The sequence below is a fragment of the Homo sapiens genome, chromosome 7 (assembly GCF_000001405.40).
Source record: "Homo sapiens chromosome 7, GRCh38.p14 Primary Assembly".
Taxonomy (NCBI): Eukaryota; Metazoa; Chordata; class Mammalia; order Primates; family Hominidae; genus Homo; species Homo sapiens.
This window is the reverse complement of record NC_000007.14, coordinates 45,941,414-45,958,086: the sequence shown is the minus strand read 5'-3', so window position 1 is coordinate 45,958,086 and position 16,673 is coordinate 45,941,414. Positions and strand designations below refer to the sequence as shown.

General features: G+C 37.6%; 1 long non-coding RNA gene across 2 annotated transcripts in view, besides 1 other annotated feature; it reads right to left on the bottom strand.

Annotated features, from left to right (window-relative positions):
- The window catches only part of LOC102723446 (uncharacterized), a 52,707-nt gene that overhangs the window by 35,069 nt on the left and 965 nt on the right, over positions 1-16,673 (bottom strand). The gene's annotated exons all lie outside the window — the stretch shown is intronic.
- Positions 4,715-5,215: an enhancer, noted in NCBI's record as "H3K4me1 hESC enhancer chr7:45992471-45992971 (GRCh37/hg19 assembly coordinates)". NCBI's record gives its function as "activates a minimal SCP1, AML or CMV promoter by ChIP-STARR-seq in naive H9 embryonic stem cells {active_cell/tissue: H9 hESC(naive)}" and the evidence as "EXISTENCE:reporter gene assay evidence [ECO:0000049][PMID:30033119]".

Here is a 16,673-nt window from a genome sequence, read left to right as displayed (position 1 = left end):
TGTCAATAGCCATATGACTAAGCCATCTTGGAAGTGGGTCCTCTGGACCCAACCAAGCCTTAAGCTGACTGCAGCCCCATTGGATTGCAGTTGGACTACAACCTCATGATACCCTGAACCAACACCACCCAGAGAAGCTTCTCCTAGATTCCTGAAACTCCTAAACTATGTGAAATAATAAATATTTGTTCTTTTAAGTCACTGACTTTGAGAGTAATTCATTAGGCAGCAGTAGATAACGAAGACACTGTAAACTAACATAACCAGCAGACGTGTTCAGAACACTACATTCAACAACTGTTGAAGGCACATTCTTTACACATGCATATGGAACATTCACCAAGAGAGACCACTTCCTGGGCTCCAAAACAAGCCTCTATAAATTACAAAGTCATGAAATCAACAGAGTATTTTATCTTACCAAATGGCATTAAATTAGAAATCAATAACATAATGATAACAAGAAAGTTTATGAATGTTTGGAAATTAAGTAGCACAGTTCTAAATAATCCTTGGTTCAATGACAAAAATCACAAGGGAAATAAGAAAACATTTAGAACTGAATTATAATGAAAGCACACTATATCAAAATAGGAACCAACTAAAGCAGTGCTTAGAGTGAAATTTATAGCTTGAAGTGTTTAAATTGGAAAGAAAAAAAGCTTAAATCAATGATCTAAGTTTATACCTTAAAAAGTTCGAGAAAAAGGCAAGTTAAACCTAAAGTTAGGACGAAGAGAAAAATAATTAAAAGTAGAAATCAAAGAAATAGAAATTAAATAGGAGTAGAAAGAATCAATCAAAACAACTTCTGATCAGGAAAAGATGGAACAGACTATTTTTCCCTGCTCCTCTCCATGAGATACTACTATACCTCTGGAAGTAATGCAAGAGCCAACCAAAGGAGAACTTTAAAAAGTAGTAAGAGGAAGGAGAACTGGTTTGCACTCCCCAGACTAAAAGAACAGCACAGTGACAGGATATCTCATGATTCCCACCAATAGAAGGTGACCCATAGTTGGCACTTTCCAACCCCTAACCTACCATTAGAGCATCTAAGGTAAGATCTTCCCCTGGATCTAACAGAAGTCTCTTCACAACACAAGGGAGTCAGGTAGCATCAGCAAAAAAGATTGCTTGGAAGCCCTCTAATAATGAGGGGCCAGGTGATATGCGCTTCTCTGCCTGGCCCATACTCTTCTCTTCATGAAGAGACACTGGGAGAGTATTCATGAGGCCTCTTCTTACCTACACTGAGAGAAACTGGGGCATGAGACCACTGGCAATTGGAATACCACTGCAACTAGAAACCCAGTCCTAGAGGCCTTTTTGTTTCATCTTGTCTGAGACTCTCCTTTCTCATGGGCCATAAATATATATACCTAGAACTTAAATTGTTGTGTCAGTTTTCTGTCATTTATTGTGTCAACTTTAGTAATTTTTGTCAATCAAGAATTTTATTCTTTTCATCTAAGTAGTTGAATTTATTGCAAAAAATGCTACATAATATTGTCATAACTTTTTTAAGGTCTGTAAGATCTGTAATAATGTCCCCTTGTTAGTTCCTGAGCTTTGTTGGGTTTTTTTGTTTTGTTTTGTTTTTCCAAAAAACTGAGTTTTGGTAACACTGATTGAAGTAACTGAAAATTTTATGGACATAATTGTAGCTTCACATACGCTTGTAAAAAATAATACACAGAGACCCCATGTACCTTTTGGCCGACTCCCCCCAGTGGTAACATTTTGAAATTTATAGTACAATATTATAAAACCAATATATTATGACATAGATCCAACAATTGAATTCAGGTAATTTCTGCCAGTTTTACTTCTAAAACGTGTGTGTGTGTGTGTGTGTGTGTGTGTGTGTGTGTGTGTGTGTGTATTTCATTCTAGAAAATTAAATCCCAAGTGTGGATTCATGTATCCATCACTACAGTCAAAACACAGGACAATTCCATCACCACAAGAGCCCCTCCTGATGCCCTTTTATAACCACACCTACCTTGCTCCTGTCTTCCCCTCCTTTGTCCCTAACCCTGGATCACTGATCTGCTCTCCATTTCTAAAATTGTTATTTCAAAAATGTAATATAAATGGAATCATACTGCATGTCAACTTTTGGAGGCTCTGGGTCCATTTACATCTTCTATTTCAGTATCCAGTCACCTCTTTAGATGTATCATACAGGTGCTAGCTTAGTTTTGTGGGCTTTGGTTTGAATGAGAATTTTACTTTCCAATTCTTGTAGTTTTATTTCTGTTTCCTTGGTGTTGTACTACCGGGGCTACTGCTATCCCTGCTGATTGAGGGGATGGATGGGGCTCTCCTGTGGGCCATGGGGAAAGAGAGTCTCAGGCCAGTTGGGACGAGGAAGCCACCAGGACTGTGCTGCTAATAGTAGTGGTGTCCCACTTGCCAGTGGTCACCTGCCCTAGTGTCTCTCAGAAAGGTTGTTACTTAAGAGCTTTTTTTCACAAGGGTATTCTGACTAATAAATTAAGAAAATAGAATTGAAATATCACCACTTTTCAGGTTGGTATAAATTACTGGTTCTATGCAATGTTCATAAATGCCTACTAATATCACAAAAAGGAGACAGCATTTTTGTGGCTGTCTGAATAGCTCTGTCAGCCCTTTGTGGCTGTCTGAATAGTAATGATAGCTCTATTACTAGGTATCTATTGGAAAAACACAAAGCGTGATAAAAGATTTATGTATAAAGAAATTGTAAAACTATTCTTATAATTAATTTGAGAGCAACATAAATGTCAAACTATAAGAAAATAATAAAATAAATTTTGGTATATCAGAAATACCATTTTATGCCTCCTAATAGAAATACTACCACCTACAAAGAGTTCTTTCTAAAAAACAATGAAATACCTCTGAGCACATCTACCCATTTAGAAAAATTATAAGAGATGGAGAAACATGTTAACATCTTAGAGGTACAATTGGCTAACTCCAGACTTTGGGAAAAGGCAAGATAAAGAATCCAGACTCTTCAAAAAATACAACTCAATGAAAAAATAGAGAAGGAATATATAGATTAATTGAGGTCCAAGAAAAAGGAAATGACATGTCTGCACAAAGGTTTGTACAAGAATGTTTATATAAAAGTAACTGTGTGAGATGAGAGATACGTTAATCTGCCTATCGTAACCATTTTACTACCTATATGTATCCTATAACATCATATTGCAAATCTCAAATATGCACAATAAAAATTTCATTTTTAAAAAAAGAATGTTCATATAAGTTGTATTTATGATGGCCATTAATAGCTTAGAATAGGCAAAAACTATAATAATTAAAATCAGAATAGAGGTTTTGTCTAGGATGTTGGGGGTGAGCGTTGATTGGAAAGAGGCATAGGAGAAATTTCTAGGGTGAAGAAAATATTCCATCTTGACAGGTGGTGGGTTACAGTTAGGTAGGTGTACACATTTGTCAGAATCCAGCAAAGTATATATTTAAGATCTCTGCATTTTCCTCTATGCACAGATCTCAAATGCACAGATTTATTATACCTCAATAAAGAGGTACTTTGCAAATTTTTTAAAAAGTCTCGGCAAAGAGCTTTAAAACTGATATGCCTTTTAATAAAGTATTAATAGCTCTATTACTAGGTATCTATTGGAAAAATACAAAATGTGATAAAAGCTTTATGTACAAAGGAGTTGTAAAAATATTCTTATAATTAATTTGAGAGCAACATAAATGTCAAACAATAAGGAGGCAATAAAATAAATTTCAGTATATCAGAAAAATGGAATTAGCCATAAAAGATAAGTTCAAGAAATAACATCTAACGATGAGGAACAAGATTTAATTTACAAATATAAAATTAAGTACGTAAAGTTACATCTTGTAAACCTTATTTCAAATTGGAAGTCTCCAATGACAAGAAAAGGGATATGAAAATTGTATGGATGGGGTGATCTCAATTATAAGGAAGAAAAATTCATAAAGACTAAAGTATTTCAACATGTAAATAGGCAGGGGATCTGAGGGGTGGCATTCTGCAATGCAATCCTGTCACTAACTAAGGTGGCTCAAATTCCACAGGTTAAGGGCACAGTTAGCACAAGACTGCCCTCACTTTAGATGCCAGCCACAAGCTTGGGGTTCCCAGGCAACCCTAACCAACTGGTTACAAATCCAGAGGCTTCCACCATCCACTGAGTTTCAATAATTCAGAAAACAACTCACAGAACTCAAGAAAGTCATATACTTATGATTATAGTTTTATTACAGAAAAAAGTATGTAAATAAGAACCAGCCAAAAAAAGAGACCTGTAGGATGACACTTGGGAAGGTCCCAAATGTGAAGCTTCCATGTCCTCAGGACAAGGCACCCTCTGTGCACACTGATGTGTACCATCAACCAGAAAAGCCTACCCCAGCTTCAGTGTCCAGAGTTTTTATTGTGATTTCATTAGCAAGACATGATTGAATCACTGCCCATGTGATTGACTCAGTCTCCAGCTTTCCTCCCCAGATGTTGGGATGATGTGATGTGGCTCAAAGCACCAACCATCTAATCACTTTGTTGGTCTTTCTGACCTGACCTGAAGATACAGAGGGGGCCTACCATGGGTTACTCTAGTAGTCTAAACTCAGGTGTTATCCCAGGGGCCTCCGATGAATAATAGACATTCTTGGGGAGAAGCCAAGATGGCCGAATAGGAACAGCTCTGGTCTACAGCTCCCAGCGTGAGCGACGCAGAGGACGGGTGATTTCTGCATTTCCATCTGAGGTACTGGGTTCATCTCACTACGGAGTGCCAGACAGTGGGCGCAGGTCAGTGGGTGCGCACACCGTGCGCCAGCCGAAGCAGGGTGAGGCATTGCCTCACTCGGGAAGCGCAAGGGGTCAGGGAGTTCCTAGTCAAAGAAACGGGTGACAGACGGCACCTGGAAAATCGGGTCACTCCCACCTGAACACTGCGCTTTTCCGACGGGCTTAAAAAACGGCGCACCAGGAGATTATATCCCGCACATGGCTTGGAGGGTCCTACACCCACAGAGTCTCGCTGATTGCTAGCACAGCAGTCTGAGATCAAATGGCAAGGTGGCAGCGAGGCTGGGGGAGGGGCGCCTGCCATTGCCCAGGCTTGCTTAGGTAAACAAAGCAGCCAGGAAGCTCGAACTGGGTGGAGCCCACCACAGCTCAAGGAGGCCTGCCTGCCTCTGTAGGCTCCACCTCTGGGGGCAGGGCACAGACAAACAAAAAGACAGCAGTAACCTCTGCAGACTTAAATGTCCCTGTCTGACAGCTTTGAAGAGAGCAGTGGTTCTCCCAGCACGCAGCTGGAGATCTGAGAACAGGCAGACTGCCTCCTCAAGTGGGTCACTGACCCCTGACCCCCGAGCAGCCTAACTGGGAGGCACCCCCCAGCAGGGGCAGACTGACACCTCACACGGCCGGGTACTCCAACAGACCTGCAGCTGAGGGACCTGTCTGTTAGAAGGAAAACTAACAAACAGAAAGGACATCCACACCAAAAACCCATCTGTACATCACCATCATCAAAGACCAAAAGTAGATAAAACCACAAAGATGGGGAAAAAACAGAGCAGAAAAACTGGAAACTCTAAAAAGCAGAGTGCCTCTCCTCCTCCAAAGGAACGCAGTTCCTCACCAGCAACGGAACAAAGCTGGACGGAGAATGACTTTGACGAGCTGAGAGAAGAAGGCTTCAGACGATCAAATTACTCTGAGCTATGGGAGGAGGTTCAAACCAAAGGCAAAGAAGTTGGAGACTTTGAAAAAAATTTAGAAGAATGTATAACTAGAATAACCAATACAGAGAAGTGCTTAAAGGAGCTGATGGAGCTGAAAACCAAGGCTCGAGAACTACGTGAAGAATGCAGAAGCCTCAGGAGTCGATGCGATCAACTGGAAGAAAGGGTATCAGCGATGGAAGATGAAATGAATGAAATGAAGTGAGAAGGGAAGTTTAGAGAAAAAAGAATAAAAAGAAACGAGCAAAGCCTCCAAGAAATATGGGACTATGTGAAAAGACCAAATCTACTTCTGATTGGTGTACCTGAAAGTGACGGGGAGAATGGAACCAAGTTGGAAAACACTCTGCAGGATATTATCCAGGAGAACTTCCCCAATCTAGCAAGGCAGGCCAACATTCAGATTCAGGAAATACAGAGAACGCCACAAAGATGCTCCTCGAGAAGAGCAACTCCAAGACACATAATTGTCAGATTCACCAAAGTTGAAATGAAGGAAACAATGTTAAGGGCAGCCAGAGAGAAAGGTCGGGTTACCCTCAAAGGGAAGCCCATCAGACTAACAGCAGATCTCTCGGCAGAAACTCTACAAGCCAGAAGAGAGTGGGGGCCAATATTCAACATTCTTAAAGAAAGGAATTTTCAGCCCAGAATTTCATATCCAGCCAAACTAAGCTTCATAAGTGAAGGAGAAATAAAATACTTTACAGACAAGCAAATGCTGAGAGATTTTGTCACCACCAGGCCTGCCCTAAAAGAGCTCCTGAAGGAAGCACTAAACATGGAAAGGAACAACCGGTACCAGCTGCTGCAAAATCATGCCAAAATGTAAAGACCATCAAGACTAGGAAGAAACTGCATCAACTAATGAGCAAAATAACCAGCTAACATCATAATGACAGGATCAAATTCACACATAACAATATTAACTTTAAATGTCAATGGACTAAATGCTCCAATTAAAAGACATAGATGGCAAATTGGATAAAGAGTCAAGACCCATCAGTGTGCTGTATTCAGGAAACCCATCTCACGTGCAGAGACACACATAGGCTCAAAATAAAAGGATGGAGGAAGATCTACCAAGCAAATGGAAAAGAAAAAAAGGCAGGGGTTGCAATCCTAGTCTCTGATAAAACAGACTTTAAACCAACAAAGATCAAAAGAGACAAAGAAGGCCATTACATAATGCTAAAGGGATCAATTCAACAAGAAGAGCTAACTATCCTAAATATATATGCACCCAATACAGGGGCACCCAGATTCATAAAGCAAGTCCTGAGTGACCTACAAAGAGACTTAGACTCCCACACATTAATAATGGGAGATTTTAACACCCCACTGTCAACATTAGACAGATCAACGAGACAGAAAGTCAACAAGGATACCCAGGAATTGAACTCAGCTCTGCACCAAGTGGACCTAATAGACATCTACAGAACTCTCCACCCCAAATCAAAAGAATATACATTTTTTTCAGCACCACACCACACCTATTCCAAAATTGACCACATACTTGGAAGTAGGGCTCTCCTCAGCAAATGTAAAAGAACAGAAATTATAACAAGCTATCTCTCAGACCACAGTGCAATCAAACTAGAATTCAGGATTAAGAATCTCACTCAAAACCGCTCAACTACATGGAAACTGAACAACCTGCTCCTGAATGACTACTGGGTACATAACAAAATGAAGGCAGAAATAAAGATGTTCTTTGAAACCAACGAGAACAAAGACACAACATACCAGAATCTCTGGGATGCATTCAAAGCAGTGTGTAGAGGGAAATTTATAGCACTAAATGCCCACAAGAGAAAGCAGGAAAGATCCAAATTTGACACCCTAACATCACAATCAAAGGAACTAGAAAAGCAAGAGCAAACACATTCAAAAGCTAGCAGAAGGCAAGAAATAACTAAAATCAGAGCAGAACTGAAGGAAATAGAGACACAAAAAACCCTTCAACAATTTAATGAATCCAGGAGCTGGTTTTTTGAAAGGATCAACAAAATTCATAGACCGCTAGCAAGACTGATAAAGAAAAAAAGAGAGAAGAATCAAATAGACGCAATAAAAAATGATAAAGGGGATATCCCCACCGATCCCACAGAAATACAAACTACCATCAGAGACTACTACAAACACCTCTACGCAAATAAACTAGAAAATCTAGAAGAAATGGATAAATTTCTGGACACATACACTCTCCCAAGACTAAACCAGGAAGAAGTTGAATCTCTGAATAGACCAATAACAGGCTCTGAAATTGTGGCAATAATCAACAGCTTACCAACCAAAAAGAGTTCAGGACCAGATGGATTCACAGCCGAATTCTACCAGCGGTCCAAGGAGGAAATGGTACCATTCCTTCTGAAACTATTCCAATCAATAGAAAAAGAGGTAAATACTCCCTAACTCATTTTATGAGGACAGCATCATCCTGATTCCAAAGCCGGGCAGAGACACAACAAAAAAAGAGAATTTTAGACCAATATCCTTGATGAACATTGATGCAAAAATCCTCAATCAAATACTGGCAAACCGTATCCAGCAGCACATCAAAAAGCTTATCCACCATGATCAAGTGGGCTTCATCCCTGGGATGCAAGGCTGGTTCAACATACGCAAATCAATAAATGTAATCCAGCATATAAACAGAACCAAAGACAAAAACCACATGATTATCTCAATAGATGCAGAAAAGGCCTTTGACAAAATTCAACAACCCTTCATGCTAAAAACTCTCAATAAATTAGGTATTGATGGGACGTATTTCAAAATAATAAGAGCTATCTATGACAAACTCACAGCCAATATCATACTGAATGGGCAAAAACTGGAAGCATTCCCTTTGAAAACTGGCACAAGACAGGGATGCCATCTCTCACCACTCCTATTCAACATAGTGTTGGAAGTTCCGGCCAGGGCAATTAGGCAGGGGAAGGAAATAAAGGGTATTCAATTAGGAAAAGAGAAAGTCAAATTGTCCCTGTTTGCAGATGACATGATTGTATATCTAGAAAACCCCACTGTCTCAGCCCAAAATCTCCTTAAGCTGATAAGCGACTTCAGCAAAGTCTCAGGATACAAAATCAATGTACAAAAATCACAAGCATTCTTATACACCAACAACAGACAGAGAGCCAAATCATGAGTGAATTCCCATTCACAATTGCTTCAAAGAGAATAAAATACCTAGGAATCCAACTTACAAGGGATGTGAAGGACCTCTTCAAGGAGAACTACAAACCACTGCTCAACGAAATAAAAGAGGATACAAACAAATGGAAGAACATTCCATGCTCATGGGTAGGAAGAATCAGTATCGCGAAAATGGCCATACTGCCCAAGGTAATTTACAGATTCAATGCCATCCCTATCAAGCTACCAATGACTTTCTTCACAGAATTGGAAAAAACTACTTTAAAGTTCATATGGAACCAAAAAAGAGCCCGCATCGCCAAGTCAATCCTAAGCCAAAAGAACAAAGCTGGAGGCATCACACTACCTGACTTCAAACTATACTACAAGGCTACAGTAACTGAAACAGCATGGTACTGGTACCAAAACAGAGATATAGATCAATGGAACAGAACAGAGCCCTCAGAAATAACGCCGCATATCTACAACTATCTGATCTTTGACAAACCTGAGAAAAACAAGCAATGGGGAAAGGATTCCCTATTGAATAAATGGTGCTGGGAAAACTGGCTAGCCATATGTAGAAAGCTGAAACTGGATCCCTTCCTTACACCTTATACAAAAATCAATTCAAGATGGATTAAAGACTTAAACGTTAGACCTAAAACCATAAAAACCCCAGAAGAAAACCAAGGCATTACCATTCAGGACATAGGCATGGGCAAGGACTTCATGTCTAAAACACCAAAAGCAATGGCAACAAAAGCCAAAATTGACAAATGGGATCTAATTAAACTAAAGAGCTTCTGCACGGCAAAAGAAACTACCATCAGAGTGAACAGGCAACCTACAAAATGGGAGAAAATTGTTGCAACCTACTCATCTGACAAAGGGCTAATATCCAGAATCTACAATGAACTCAAACAAATTTACAAGAAAAAACAAACAACCCCATCAAAAAGTGGGTGAAGGACATGAACAGACACTTCTCAAAAGAAGACAAAAAACACATGAAAAAATGCTCACCATCACTGGCCATCAGAGAAATGCAAATCAAAACCACAATGAGATACCATCTCACACCAGTTAGAATGGCAATCATTAAAAAGGAAACAACAGGTGCCGGAGAGGATGTGGAGAAATAGGAACACTTTTACACTGTTGGTGGGACTGTAAACTAGTTCAACCATTGTGGAAGTCAGTGTGGCGATTCCTCAGGGATCTAGAACTAGAAATACCATTTGACCCAGCCATCCCATTACTAGGTATATACCCAAAGGACTATAAATCATGCTGCTATAAAGACACATGCACACGTATGTTTATTGCGGCATTATTCACAATAGCAAAGACTTGGAACCAACCCAAATGTCCAACAATGATAGACTGGATTAAGAAAATGTGGCACACATACACCATGGAATACTATGCAGCCATAAAAAATGATGAGTTCATGTCCTTTGTAGGGACATGGATGAAACTGGAAATCATTCTCAGTAAACTATCACAAGAACAAAAAACCAAACACCGCATATTCTCACTCATAGGTGGGAATTGAACAATGAGAACACATGGACACAGGAAGGGGAACATCACACTCTGGGGACTGTTGTGGGGTGGGGGGAGGGGGGAGGGATAGCATTGGGAGAGATACCTAATGCTAGATGACGAGTTAGTGGGTGCAGCGCACCAGCATGGCACATGTATACATATGTAACTAACCTGCACATTGTGCACATGTACCCTAAAACTTGAAGTATAATTTAAAAAAAAAAATTTAAAAAAAGAAAAAAAAATAGAATTTCTGAATCTCTGAAAACACGGTAATGCCAAGCTTTAGCCTTTATATTTGGAAGTAACCAACTATAACTTAGGATGAAAAGAAGAAAAGCATTGAATGCTTTGCTCAGACCATAAATTCCATATCCATTTTCCCTAGCATTTGGGATAATTAAGTTCATTGTACTAGTGGTTTTTTTTTTCCCTTAGGGATTCTACCTGGAATATACTAATATTTTCAAGCACTCATAGAAAATGGTGTAAATAAAATTGTTACACATGGAAATACACATTTATAATTTTGATATATTTTGCCAAATTGCTCTCTAAAAGGGTTAATTCCACTTACGTTCCAACAAAATATTTGTTTTCCCACATCCTTCCCCATATTAAATGTTAACCTGTTCAATTTGTCAATCAGACACAAGGAAAATTATATCCTTATTATTTAATTTGCATTTTCTGAATTATGAAGATATTAAATATACTCATGTCAACAGGCTATTATCTTTCATTTCAGTATCTGGATGTGAGTGGTTTTTGCCTATTTGTTGCTTATTGACTTGTAAGAGATCTTTGTATATTAAAGAAATTTAGCCCTTTAAAAAAAAAAATAGACATTCTTACCACTTGGAAGATTCCAAAGTTTTAGGGGCTGCCTCCCATGAACTAAGGACAAAGACCAGATAGATTCTTTACTAAACAACAAAGTCTAAGATAATATTTTCTGATTTACATTATTTCTGACTTTCTACATTGTTTTATATAAGCATGGATTACTTGATCAGAAAAAACGACTAATGAAATAAAGAATAAAGAGAGAGAAAAAATTTCTAAAAGTCACCTAAAACAAAGTCCTTGGAAAATATAGTAAATCTAGGAGGTAAGTTTCATTCTCCCACCTTCATACAAAAAAAGAAGTTATATATTAATTATGAATCCTATGAGGAAAATGTGCAAACTGAAATGTTAAGACTGGAAGCCAAAAAATTCCAAAACTCAAAAGAATTTTTATTAGGAACAGTGAAAATGGGACCAGGTTTATTAAGAACTCTTGGAACTTTTCGAAACTTCACCACACTGAAGAAGCAGTATGGACCCAAAGGATACGAATGAAGATCTGAGACTCCAATGCACCCCCAAACTGGAGGGTAGAGGAGAAAATGAAAATTACATCTCAGATGGCTTTGACGGCCATTGCAGTGGAATCTGTGGGTAGTGATGAAAAGGCTCAGGTCTATGGGACTTTGTCTCCCAGGACAGTTTCCCAGGACTGCAAGAGTTCTTCATTTATGCAAACAGCAGGAGAAGGCAACAGGCAAGGTGGGGAGTTAGCTCCTCTCCAAAGAGAAAAAGGAATATGCTTCTCCACCCTCCACCAGGAATGGGACTCAGCCATGTCAAGACTGGTACTAAAAAAAAAAAATGAGATTTGCCAAACCCAGAGGAGAAAAGACACAGACAGAGAAGCAAATTTCCTTTCCAAAAATTAATCAAAGCTTTAGTTCCCTCCCTCCCCTCACTAAACTGGCATCAAGACTTGAACCTTAGGATCCACAATGGTATTCGAAGAGAATGATGAGGAAACCTATAAAGTCATTATTCACTGTTCATGTAAAAAACACCACACCTAACTAGAAGTCTACACATTTAAGAGCAAGCAAACAGAAAAATACATTGTTAGTGATAACACTTTGCAGCATATAAATGATGGGAAATGAATAAATGTTGAAAATGACGTGGTGCAAAAAACATAAAGCAATCATGAATTAACTTTGTACCAGCAAAACTGAAAATAACACCTATTTTATGAAATGAACCAAAGTGAAAAGGCAAAAGAAAAGAAACTGAGATTGCTTAAATAATTTGATATATTAATATATTACAAAAAAGAAATAGATAGATCACATCATCTGGCTCTTGCAATTCAATTTAAAGGATCAAAAATATGAGGCTTATTCCACAGAAAAAATAAAGTAATCTTAATTATTCTATATAACATTAGCCAGAAACTACTACAATCAATGCATGTTTTTCATTTTATACAGGACACTTGGCTGGTTGGTAAAAAATAAGGTAACATGAAGTTTTCAGATGAACAAAAACTGAAATAAGTTATTTATTAGAATAGAATACTAAATACAATAGAATAGAACACTAAAAAATGTAAAAAAGTATGTACTTCAGGCAGAAGGAGCATTATCACAGATGAAAAATTGAAGATGCAGAAAGGGATCAAAAGAATTGTGAGACTATATTGAAATGAACACTGTATTAAAACAAGAACACTAACATTTTTAGGATGTAGATTATACAGGTGAAATTAAAATATATGACAACGAGAGCATAGAAATCAGGAAAGGGACAAATAGAACTGAAATGTCTGAGTGTGCTTTTGCTTCACAGGACTAGAGTACAATTATCAATTAATATTTGAATTTTATAAATTAAGAAGGCTTATTGTAATTTCTAGGAAATACTACAGGATGACTAAAAAAAAAAAAAAACACTTCAAAACTACCAGGAAAAAGCATTATAAAATCATAAAATTAATCAACTAGGAAAGCTCCTTCTAGCTAGGATTAGACCTCTACAGCTACAAAAATCACTGATTACAACTAAAATATCTAGTAAACAAAAGTCAACAATTGTGGGGAGAGTCAAAACACGGAAAAGTAGCCTAAAAGGAGGTGTTTTCTAGTTTTGTTTTTTCTCTTTTCTCTTACAACATGGATCCAAAGGCAGTCCTAATCATAGACTGTTCAACATTGGTGGTTAAGAATTCATGGATTCTGTGTGTTAGGCCTGAGAAACCAAGAAAAGGGCTCCTGAGGCTAAACGAGTGTACATGGGAGTCCCCTATTTTCCCCATTATTTTTTCTCCAAGATATCCCCTCAGGGTGTGCCTGGTCCTGGAATATAGCTTAGACAACTGAATGTTCTTTAACTTGCAACTGAGTAAAAAAGCTGTGGTGCATCCAAAGTTAATGTTATTGGCCGATACTCTTTGGCAATAAAAAGGAATGGATTATTATTACACACACACACACCATGAATGAATTTCAAACACATCGTTATAACTGACAGAAACCATGCTCAACTATGATTTGATTTATATGACATTCTGGAAAATTCAAAATTAGAGGAACACAAACACATTGGTTGTTGCCAGAGAGTGGAGATGAGATAACTGAGTGCAAATGGGCAGCGCAGGGGAGAGTTTTGCGATGACGCTGCCTTGTGGTTACATAAGTGCATGCATTCGCCAATCTCATGTAACTGTACACCAAAAAGAGTGAGTGTTACTGTGAGCAAAGAAAAAAATAATCAACCCAAAAAAGAAGGCAAGAAAGAGAAAAGGCATAAAACCAGACAAATAGAAAACACATAATTAGATGGTTGGTTTACCCCGTAATATATTAGTAAGTACAGTAATGGTAAGTAGACTGGATGTTTGAGTGAAATATCAATCACTAGATTTAAATATCAAAATCTAATGCTGTGGTGTGCGAAGGAGACACGCTTAAATTTGCTGGGTACATATTGAAAGCTGTAAGAGTAAATAACTGTGTAGATAGCATACATAACTAACCAAAAGAAAGTTGGGGTAGTTCTATTTAACATCAGAAGAGAATAGATGCAAAGAATTCTAAAGAAGGCCAAAGAATTACTCGAGATGAATACAGTTGTTTTATAATGATAAATGATTTGCTAAACAAGGAAGATACTAAATGTATATGTACTTAATTCACATGGCCTAAAAATATATAACAAAAATTGACAGAACCATGAGAAGAAACTGACAAACTCACAATAAGAGTGGAAGATTATAATACATATCTCGCATTAAGTAACAATAAAACACACAAAAAATACAGATCTTATCTAAAATCTGAGCAACATGATTCATAAACTTGACCTAGGAACAATGCATCCAAAAATTATAGAGTACATTCTGTTGTTAAACTCATGTAAGCTTCTTAAAAAATTAACCATATACAGGACCATTAAGAAGTCCTTTAAATATTTAAAGAACTGAAATCATTCAGGGAAAGTTCTCCAATCACAGTGTAACCATGCTAGAAATACATTTTTAAAATCAGGCATATTTCATGTATTTGAAAATTAAGAAACATGCTTCTAAATATTAGATGGGTCAAAGAAGAAAACGTAAGGGTCACAGAAAATATTTTGAACTAGATTACAAACAAAACACTACATATCAAAACTGAGTAATGAATTTAAAATAATTCTTAGTAGGACATGAATTTTACCATATGTGTGTGTGTATGGTGTGTGTGTATGGTGTGCGTGTGTGAAAAGAACAGCTAAAAATTAACAATCTAAATGTATGTCCCCAAAGATTAAAAAAGAACACTAAAATAAGCTTTAAGAAGCAAATAATAAAAAATGAGTGCAGAAATAACGAAACAGAAAATAAATAATAGAACGATAGAGAGCCAAAAGAAATCAGAAAGTTTATTCTTTGCAAAAACTAATAATAAAACTCAAAACCTCAGGCAAAACTGTTTAACAAGAGAGATGGCATAATCAATAACACAAATGAAAAAGAACACATTTGAGATCCTGTCCCCGTTAAGAAGACAACAAGGAGATATTGTAACCAACTTTTATGTCAATAAATACACAATTTAGTTGAAAAGAGTAATTTCAAGGGAAAATAACCTGCCAAAATTGACAAATGCAGGAAGAGAAAACACATATTCCTAAAACTTTTAAAGAAATCCAATCGGAAATTTAAAATGTTCTAACAAAGAAAACTCCAACTTCAGATGGTTCTACAGTGAATTCCAGAATATTTAAATGATCTAGCCTTACACTAACTCTTCTACAGTAAAAGAAAGAGAAGATATACTCCCTAACTCATTTTACCAGGCTAGAAAAACCTGAACAAAACTTTGTAAGACAACATTACAGCCAGTGATCAAAGTTAACATGCCGGTAATGACACTCTGATATAATATGTGAAGAGAAGTTCGCTTCTATGACATTTCCCTCTAAAATCTGTAAGCCCAGTCTAATTATGAGAAAATAACAGACAAGCCCAAATTGACAGCCATTCTTCAAAACACCTGATCATTACACTTTAAAAAATTAAAGTCATTAAAAAAGGAAAAACCATAAAACTATCACAGATTGGACGAGAATAAAGAAACATGATGGCCAAATGCAACAAGGTATACTAGATTGGGATCCCAGAACAGAAAAAATATCTTAGAGGAAAAAAATGCAGAAATCTGAATAAAGTCTGCAGTTAGTTAATGGCATTGTACCAATGTTAATCTCTTAACCTTTCTTTTTCTTTTTTTTTTTTTTTGAGATGAAGTCTTGCTCTGTCACCCAGGCTGGAGTGCAGTGGCGTGATCTCAGCTCATTGCAACCTCTCTCCCCTGGGTTGAAGCGATTCTCCTGTCTCAGCCTTTCAAGTAGCTGGGATTACAGGTGCGCATCACCATGCCCAGCTAATTTTTGTATTTTTAGTAGAGATGGGGTTTCACCATGTTGGCCAGGCTGGTCTCGAACTCCTGACCTCAGATGATCCACCTGCCTTGGCCTCCCAAAGTGCTGGGATTACAGGCATGAGCCACCACGCCTGGCCAATTTCTTAATCTTAATGTACCATGGTCATGTCAGATGAATGAGAGGAAGCTGAGTGAACGGTTATGTGAGAATTCTCTGTATATCTTTATAACTCTTCTAGAAATCTAACATTTCAAAATAAACATTTTTTAAAGAGTGAAGAGTAGTACAAGAAAGAAAAGTATGTAAACCCAAAAATCACACACTAAATAATTAGCAAACTTAATGTAGTAATATTCAAAGAAAGAGGAGGAAAAGGAGAAGGATGAGAAGCAGCAGGAGCAAGAAAACGAAAAGGGGAAGAAGAATAAAGACCAGGTTTGATCATGATCAGGAACACAGATTGGTTAAACATTAGGAGCAAAATCAATGTCATTCACAACATTAATAAACCAATGGTG